At 49.6% G+C, this 8,395-nt stretch overlaps 2 long non-coding RNA genes across 6 annotated transcripts in view; one reads left to right on the top strand and one right to left on the bottom strand.

The window, feature by feature from the left end:
- Window positions 1-2,957, top strand: part of LOC112268022 (uncharacterized) — a 26,576-nt gene extending 23,619 nt beyond the window's left edge. The window contains exon 2 of the long non-coding RNA XR_002956694.2: window positions 1,778-2,957. This is a non-coding gene — a long non-coding RNA (uncharacterized LOC112268022). The remainder of the gene's footprint in view (window positions 1-1,777) is intronic.
- Window positions 933-8,395, bottom strand: LOC101929248 (uncharacterized). 5 transcript variants are annotated; one of them, XR_002956693.2, is made up of 4 exons: window positions 8,309-8,395; window positions 2,737-2,824; window positions 2,461-2,583; window positions 933-1,982 (listed from the first exon to the last, which is right to left on the bottom strand). It is a non-coding gene; the product is annotated as an uncharacterized LOC101929248 (long non-coding RNA). The 5 variants fall into 5 exon arrangements; XR_007060823.1 differs by having other exon boundaries at window positions 933-1,961; window positions 8,309-8,393; XR_007060822.1 differs by adding an exon at window positions 6,238-6,332 and having other exon boundaries at window positions 933-2,824; window positions 8,309-8,372.

Here is an 8,395-nt window from a genome sequence, read left to right as displayed (position 1 = left end):
GGAGAAGAGAGCGTCCAGAGTTGGCCAACGCTGGGGGCAGTTATCTGCGCAGCCTGCCAGGTCTGCAAGAAAGGGGACTGCAGCCGTGACCCCTAAGTTAGGGCCATAGGTCCCAAAGCTAATTTGTTTGATATTAATAAAAATTATAATTATTATCTATTTTAAAATAGAGTGATAGGGTTGGAAACATGGTATTTCACGACTGCATTGTCCTAACAACTCTTTCTCACGTGGTTCTGGAATTCCTTCCCACCGTGTAGCTATTCTGGTAGTGCACGCATGTGCACCTGCTTTATGTCCTTGCAGTCCATATCAAACCTTCCTTTTTGTACGTTACTGTTTGTTTTCTAAACCTAGTCCATGTAATTCCTGTATTCGCCAATGTTCTTAAACATACCAACACAGGCACGGCCCATGGCTGCTGCCTGCAGACCAGCTCGTGGCTCAAAGCAACACACAGACCTGAGGCTGCTATCTTTACTGAGCTCTGTTCACACCCTAGAAGGGTGTCTGCAGCTCGGTGAAGCAATAAAGGGTGCTTGCCATTATTATTATGTTCCGAAGGCTAATAGGCAGGGTGTTTAAAAATAGCTGCCTGCCTTTCAATATGTAAGAGCAGAGTTGGAGAACATACATTGACGTAAGAATGCAAATCCAACCAAAATATCCGAATCCCTGCAGAAAGAGCACAGGGTTCCAGTAGTGATTCTGCAGTAACTCCCTGTGTGACTCTAGACCCTTAACCAGTGGCTCTGTCTGTAACGTGAGGGATTCCTCTAGATTACCTCTAAGGGGTCCTGTTTTGGGTTGTGGATAACTTAGAAAATATATTTAAACACATATCAAAGTCGAATTGTACGATAAAGTTCCACAGCCCTACGGACTGGTTTTGACAACGATCATTAAATCTTATGTTGTTCGTATCCTCACAGTTTGATTATCACATTCACTTTATTAATTTATTATTATAATTCTTAGATTCCTGGATAAAATGACACCCATTTTTCTTAGGATCAAAACAAGATGGCTTCCACCAGAGAAAGAAAGGCCAGGCACGGAACTGGTCCCCACGTGGCTGGCCATTACAACTGCTGCTTCTCCCTGCTCCCATCTCATCCCCACGAATGTCCCACTCATGGGTGGCCCTGAGTCATCGTAGAACAGTGTGTCCATGCCTCTGCTTCCTCAGGCCCCAGGCATCTCATGGAGAGTCCTTTCTAGACTGCCATCTCATGCCAGAGGGTGGAGGGATTTCCGCCTGGCTTACCACAGTTGTGTGTGGTTTGTTTGCTGGCATTCTTTAGCAGCAACTGCTTGAGAGCCAGTTCTTCAATTCTAGGCAGTCGATTCACCCAGCATCTTGCCAGAAGTTGGCTCAGAATAACAGGCAGCTCTCCATGCTCATCCTTCCCGTAGCATTTCAAGGTAACTGTCCATCTCCTTCACTCTAGAGCAAGAAGAAAGGAGAAGCCTCTTCTATCCATTCTGTTCTGTCTCCTGCACTTTGTCCTGTGAGTGGAGTCAAGTTAAAGGAGCTTCTTTCACTTCCCCAGAGACTCCACCAGGACCTCACATTCCCAAGGGCATTGTAGCTGCCATTCCATCTGTTCTAGGGAGAACATTCATGAACCCTGAAAGGCTGTCCTCTTCTCCAGCTGAGCATAGGTTTCGCTCGGGCGTACAGGCAGCAGACCTGGTTTTCCAGGACACGTGCCATTCAAGGCCATTGGGATGGGCTGAAAGGTTGATAGCAAAGGTCTTGATCTATCTTTTGCAGGAACCTTGGTGCTTCCATCTTCCACTTGCCAGTCGGGTGACCACAGAAAAGAGATTCTGGAGAGTAGAAACTTCGGTCAAGTTGCCCCAAGTCAGGGATGAGCCTTCTTTCCATGGAGCCTTCCAAAGGGCAAGCCGTCTGCTACTGTGTACTGTAAATTCAGAGCTTCAGGAGCTGAGGCCTCCTGTGCTTGGGGGAAAGGTAGCTGAGGAGAAAGGGACACCTTCTCACCTTTTGTTTACCTTTGATCTGGCTGAACTTAGCTGCCCTTAACTTCTAGTTTGCTTAAGTCCTTATTGCCTTAATAACCACCTAATAAGCAGTCAGAACCAGGAGAGAAGCCCCTCCCGTGGAATCCATTGCAAGCCTGTCCCCAGTCTCCCCACTGCTGCTATGCCTGAAAAGAGCCCCAGCCCCGTCTCCAAAGCCCAGGGTTCGCCTCTTGCTGAAAGAGCAACGTTCCCAGGCTGAGGACAAACCCAGGACTGCTCAGGCGGAGAGATCCCTGCCCCCACGTTCACCACTGACAACCCAACTCCATCCTCAGTCTCCGTGGCTTCAGATCTGGACTCCGCACCCTCCTCCACCTCCACCTCTCTTCCCAGAGACCCTCCCCACATCATGCTCAGTGCTGTTTCTGAAGACCATCTAGACTTTTGTGTTCTCTGGAACATTCTACTCACCTTCAGCTGCAGCACATTTCTTCAGCCTCTCCACCAAGCTCTTTAAAATGAAAGGCAGTTACTGTCTTCCCTTGGACAATAATGAATGTATCTACTGTATGTGCAGACCATGTCGAGAAGTGGCTGGGTTAAGAAAAAAGAGGGTTTTTGTAAAGCCTGTTTATTTTTTTAAGTCAGTTTTGAGCATTTCTATTTTACCACCCTTCACATGGTTTTGGGGAACCCAAATTGTATCAAGGTCTCATGCCAAAACAAGCCAAAAGTTGTTTTCTTTACCTTTTTCCTCCATGCACCATGATTTCAATGATTGTTTCAGTGTCATTTTAAATGTTTTCTTGTGACATGTACTGATGATAAAAGTCATCTTGACAAAAAAAAAAAAAAAAGATTTATACATGAATCAGAAAGTATTTATTTCAATTTTGTACCTTTCCATTTTAATACATTATAATGTATTGACTCAACGGAGATAATATAAACAGTTCATTTTAATAACACACGTGTGTGTGGCTTTTCCTTTATGCATGGTGGGGGAGGGGCAAATCATCGTGGAGTGGAAAATTCTGGCAGCTGAGGGGCATCCATTGTGAGCAGAGGGTGGCCTCTGGCTGCACCAAATGCTTTCTGCACCTGGAAGTTAGAATCAGCTGGCACTGAGAGAAGAGGTGTTAAAGGGAAATTGAGAAGGTAAGTGGGTGGTGACGTCTCCAGGCACCAGCTGCCTCTCCGACGGACACACACCTTCCACCAGGTAGGAAAAGCCATGCACAGAGCAGAGCTACCCACTCCCGGAGCCTAAATGCAGGCTGGCAATTGGAGGTTCAGAGAAGGGCCAGGTAGGGGAAACCCCAAAGAAGCTAAGACGAGAAGAAGGTGGAGAGAAAACTCAGTGCTGAAAATGAGGGTCTGGAGGTGGGGAGAGGCAGAAAAGTCCTGGGTTGTATTTTCTCAATGTAACATTTTTCCCCCTAATGCCTTTGCTAGAAATTCTGCAAATAAATCCTTGGGGCAAACTGGCTTCAGACCAAGCCCCATGGACATCCAGCAGAGGTTTCTTCTTGCCCCATTAGGAGTATTTCTCACTGCTCAATTAGGAGGAATACAGCATCGAATACAAGCATACTCATTCCAGACTCTCCCGGATCGTGCGTGGCAGGTGGGGATGGGGTGAGGCTGTGGCTGGTGCAGGGAAGAGCAGGGAGAGCCAGGAGGGAGGGAGGGCATGTCAAAAGCGACTGTATCCAGAGGGTTTGATTTAAACATTTTTCAAAACATATGTGGCAAACAGCGTGGTGAGTGTATCTCACGACGTTATTCTCCACTCTTCTCTGCATGCTTGGACCTGTTCCACTTTCAAAATGTGTCATTTTGGAAGGAAAGGGAGGAACAACTACTTGAAAGGAATACACGTCAGTATGAGCCCTTTCTCCTCAGCAGAAGGTTGCCCCAAAGTACCTCCTCTGAGGCGAGAGAAAGGAGAGAGGAGGAGAGACAGCTTTCATCAAATGGGGCACCCAGGACTCTAGGGGAGAGAAGGCACGTTCTCAACAAATGGCCCTTTGATCCATCTCCCTCAACGTCCCTGTTCTCTCCATTCCCTTTTCTCCTTCCCGATATTTTCAATTCCGAATCTTCTATACCCGCCTCCTGGGTACATCCCCTTCAGGGCAGGCACCCAGAGCTCAGGCTTGTCTTTGTCAGAAAAGGAATGCCATGGAGCATAGAAACACTGAGGGGCAAGTAGAGGGGCCTCTTTCGCTTCCTCCGTCACCCGCACCCCACCTTCAGTCTGTCCTGAGAACACGCGTGACTCCTGGGCAGGGGACTGTGACTAGATTATTTCAAGTCCTAATCCAAGATGTTAGAAAGGAATCAGTCACCAATTATACCAAATAAATGCCTCTTTGGGCCTAAGAAGGGGCCAGTTTGGGGACACGTCTACCAGGAAAGAAACAGAAAGCCCCCTCCCATCCACTCGTTTCCAAATCTCTTTTCCAAACCTCTTATTAAACTGATGAGGAATCTTCAGCTTGCAGAAGGTTCAGCTGTTTAGAGAGAATTTTGGTTCTGCGGAGAAGATATGGGAAGCTCCTACTGGTTAGTTTAAACTATTAATAGAATCCTTCCTAAATTGAATTCTCATCAAAGGCAATTAGAGAGGACTCTTTTGAATTCTGGCTCTTGGGGAATTTAGGTCTGGGATTTAAGATTCTGCCTCTGTGCCAGCATATAATTGTGCTCGTGAATCTGGACCCTGTCTTAGCCCGTCTGGGCTGCTGTCACAAAATACCATAGACTGGGGGGCTTATAAACAACAGAAACGTGTTTCTGACAGTTCCGGATGTGGGGAGGTCCAAGATAAAAGTGCTGCTGGATTCAGCCTCCTGTGAGGGCTTTCGAGTCACAGACGGTGCCCTCCAGCTGTGAAGAGGCTCTCTTGGGCCTTTTTCTAAGGGCACTAATCCCATTATAAGGAATCCACCCTCATGGATAATCACCTCCCAAAGGCCACACCTCCTAATCCCATCACCTTAGGGGCTGGGATTTCAATGCTTGAATTCTGAGGGTACATAAACCTTCAGATTATAGCCGACCCTCTTTTCTCTGTGGTAAATGGAGACACTTGGGCTTCCTTGATCCCTGGTAGTTGGGGTTGCTGGGGGACTATTGTGAGCAAACCCTGTCACTGAGTGAACTGCTGTCCAGTTAGCACTTGCTGGCGCGCGCACGCGAACACACACACACATCCACAGGGCTCCCCACTCACAGGTGGCCCACCCATCTGCCCCTGGGACTTTGGCCCCAGCCATCTCATCATGCACTATGGAGGCCCGTTTGGACACTCTTCTAAAGCCAAGGCAAATGGAAGTTGAGCTACCCCTTCCTTTGTGCCCTCTCTTCTTCCTCATCCTGCTTCCTGCTTCCTGCTGGCTCCCTCTCCTGCTTACTCTCTCCCAGGCGGCCTGATCTCCTCTGCACCCAGGTGGAAGCCCATTGATTTGAATGATGGTCCCTTCTCAGAACCTCATTGCCACAGGCAGGTTGCAATTGCCCCTGGGCGTCAGGGGTGTTTCACCTCATCATCCCCGCCCTAAACTCAGGGAGAGGGGCAAAGCATTCCATGTGGCCTGGGGCCTGCCTGACACCCCCTTGGCTGCTAGAACTCTTAAGATTAAGTCTCCTGTTGCTTCATTGTCTAGTGGCTGTCTTCATCCTCAAAAGATGTCTTCCGTCTGGTGCAGTGAGCTGGCATTTCTTTTTTTTTCTCAGAGTGGTGCTGGGGGCGCATGCACTCCTGTAAGTTCACACTCTTCTCCTAGCTTCCCAGACCCTCACTTTACATCCATCAAGGCCTTTGCCTACATTGCTTCAGGGAAAGACCCACCTTCCCTGCCCTCCCACACACAGGCACCATGATTGCAAAACTGTGAGGCAGGAATGGTTGTAGGAGAGAGGCAGGGAGGGCAAGGGAAGCCCCGGAGCCTTGGGCCACCATCACCTGGCTACAGGAGACACCTTGTCCTTCAGAGCTGCTGCTCAGATCCCCTCCACACCCCTCCACCAATGCTGGAGAGGGAGCACTGATCTAGCCCAATGTTAAGTTTCCAGAAGAGGCTGCAGCGTGCACGGGACACAGAAAGTGGGAGCTGGTCTCACAAATGAAGAAGGGAACAGGCTTCAGGGGCTCCTTCGACATGACGTCATACTTAGGAAAAATATACAGCACAAAGCAATATTTAAGGATTTTTATGTACTTTGAAAAAAACCCAACTCTACCTGAATTATACTCCCAGATGCAAACTCTCCCCATCCACCTCCTCCTGCACGGGAAATGTGGTCTCAGCATCTGGGGAGGAGCTTTCAAAACTGGCCTAGGAATATGGAAAATCCGATGGATCCTACCCTCTGCCTGGGAATAACACAGACACAGAAGCCAAGAGGAGGAAAGAGCACACTCGGAAAATGTTCTCTTTTCTGTTCGTTTTCTGGGAGTAGCTGGTCCTGTATAGGCCCCAATCAAGGGCCTAGAATCATAAAATACTGTTGGATAAGGTTAAGAAAACATATATGTTCCTTTGGGAAATCAGGCCCGATTACAGCCTAGACTCCCTTATTCTCCTACTTGGTGAGGGATGGTCCTGGATTTGCTGTTAATGTTTAGGTCTAATTATGGCTCCTCTCAGCGGAAAACATCCTCACTGTCAGCTGCGTTTTGGCTGGAGTGTGAATTTCCATGTGGGGCGAGCATTGCCCCTCCAAGGGTCACCTTCCCTGGAACCTCCGAGACCACCAATGTGGTCTTCCCTTCCGCGCGCTGTCCGTCCCCTCCCCGCGATCTGCTTCCCTTCCCCGCGCTGACCCTTCCCTTCCCCGCGCTCCCCTTCTCTTCCCCGTGCTGACCCTTCTCTTCCCTGCCCTCCCCTTCCCCTCCCTGCGCGGACCCTTCCCTTCCTCGCACTGACCCTTCCTTTCCCCGCCCTCTCCTTCCCTTCCCTCATGCTCCCCTTCCCTTCCCCGTGATCTCCTTCCCTTCCCCGCGCTCCCTTCCCTTCCCCGTGCTTCCTTTCCCTTCCCCGAGCTAACGCTTCCCTTCCCCGCGCTCCCTTTCCCTTCCCCTTCCCCGCGCTCCCCTTCCCTTCCTCGCGCTCCTGTCTTTTAACCCCACAAGCACGCGTGAGGTGAGCTGGATCTTCCCAAGTGCCCTCACTGAGCATCAGGCAAGAGTCACAGGTGACAAGTAACCACTAGACAAGGAAATACAAACAGCCGAGCCTCCAGGGACCTTCCCCCTGCCTGCCTTCTCCCGGCCTTCCCCCTGCCTGCCTTCTCCCGCGTGTTCTGAGCTATTTCCGCCCTGGGCCCAGTGGGTTGGCACAGCCGCCAGACACCGTGCCCAAATCCTCCATTTCTCAGCCTCTTCCCTCAATAGCTTGCCGGCTTTTCCAACTAGGCCAAGAGAGACGAATCCCACCAGGCCGTTTCCCTGCCCCTTTCTGTTGCCTCCCAGAACCCTAATTCTTCTTCCCCTCGTGACTGATGCCACAAATAGCCTCGCCTTTTAGGGGAGACCACAACTCCACAGGGGCAGCCATATACTTTGTTGTACCAAAATAATCAGTTATTCAAAGAGTTCCAGCTCTGGGATCAGAATGCCTGATTATTATTATAACAATTCCTGATTATTATTATTATTATTGGCTCTCACTATCTGTAAACTTGTTAATATCTCCATGCCTCAGTGTTCTCATCTTTAAATGGGGACAATAGTACCACCCCCCTCACAGGGATTTTGTGAAGAATAAATAAAATTACATATATATAAAACATGTCAAACAAAAACGGTTAAATAAAACTCCATAAGGTTAAATAACTGATAACTTAGCAATACCCACCCCTCCCCCCAACCCCGGGGCCAGCCCACCTGGGTTTCCTAATCTGCCTGGCACCTCTCCCTACCCACTGACTCCCGCCTCAGCCTTTACTCTGAAAACATCAGAGGAGAGTGCTCAGAATTATGCCAAAGGCAGTTCTTGTCCAAACAGAAAGCTCTCCCACGGCTTCTTGTTTCAAAGCTCAGCATTCATCCGGGCTTTGTTATATGGACAGGGGTCCTAGGCCCAGGGAGAAGGAAAGCTTAGGATGGAAACTATTTGGGATGTGGCCACGGTGCTCTGGGGGCTGACCCGGTTAAACACAGACTCATCATCACAACTGCCTGCTCCTTCCTTAACTTACAATCCACTTTCGTACGTTGTTCCCCGCCGCCCCCGCCCACCGCCTCCGCTCCATATTCTCTTTCTCTCCATGTTGCAGATACAGAAACGAAGCCTCACAGAGGCCGGGTTACCTCCTTCCCTGGGGAGTGGCAGAGTTGTGCCTGGCCTGCTGTGGGCCCCAGACTCAGGCTCTTCCGGCCACAGCCCCTGGCCAGCCT

Source organism: Homo sapiens, chromosome 8 (assembly GCF_000001405.40).
Source record: "Homo sapiens chromosome 8, GRCh38.p14 Primary Assembly".
In the NCBI taxonomy this organism is placed as follows: domain Eukaryota; kingdom Metazoa; phylum Chordata; class Mammalia; order Primates; family Hominidae; genus Homo; species Homo sapiens.
Note: the sequence above shows the minus strand (reverse complement) of the source record. Positions and strands in the feature narration are given on the sequence as shown.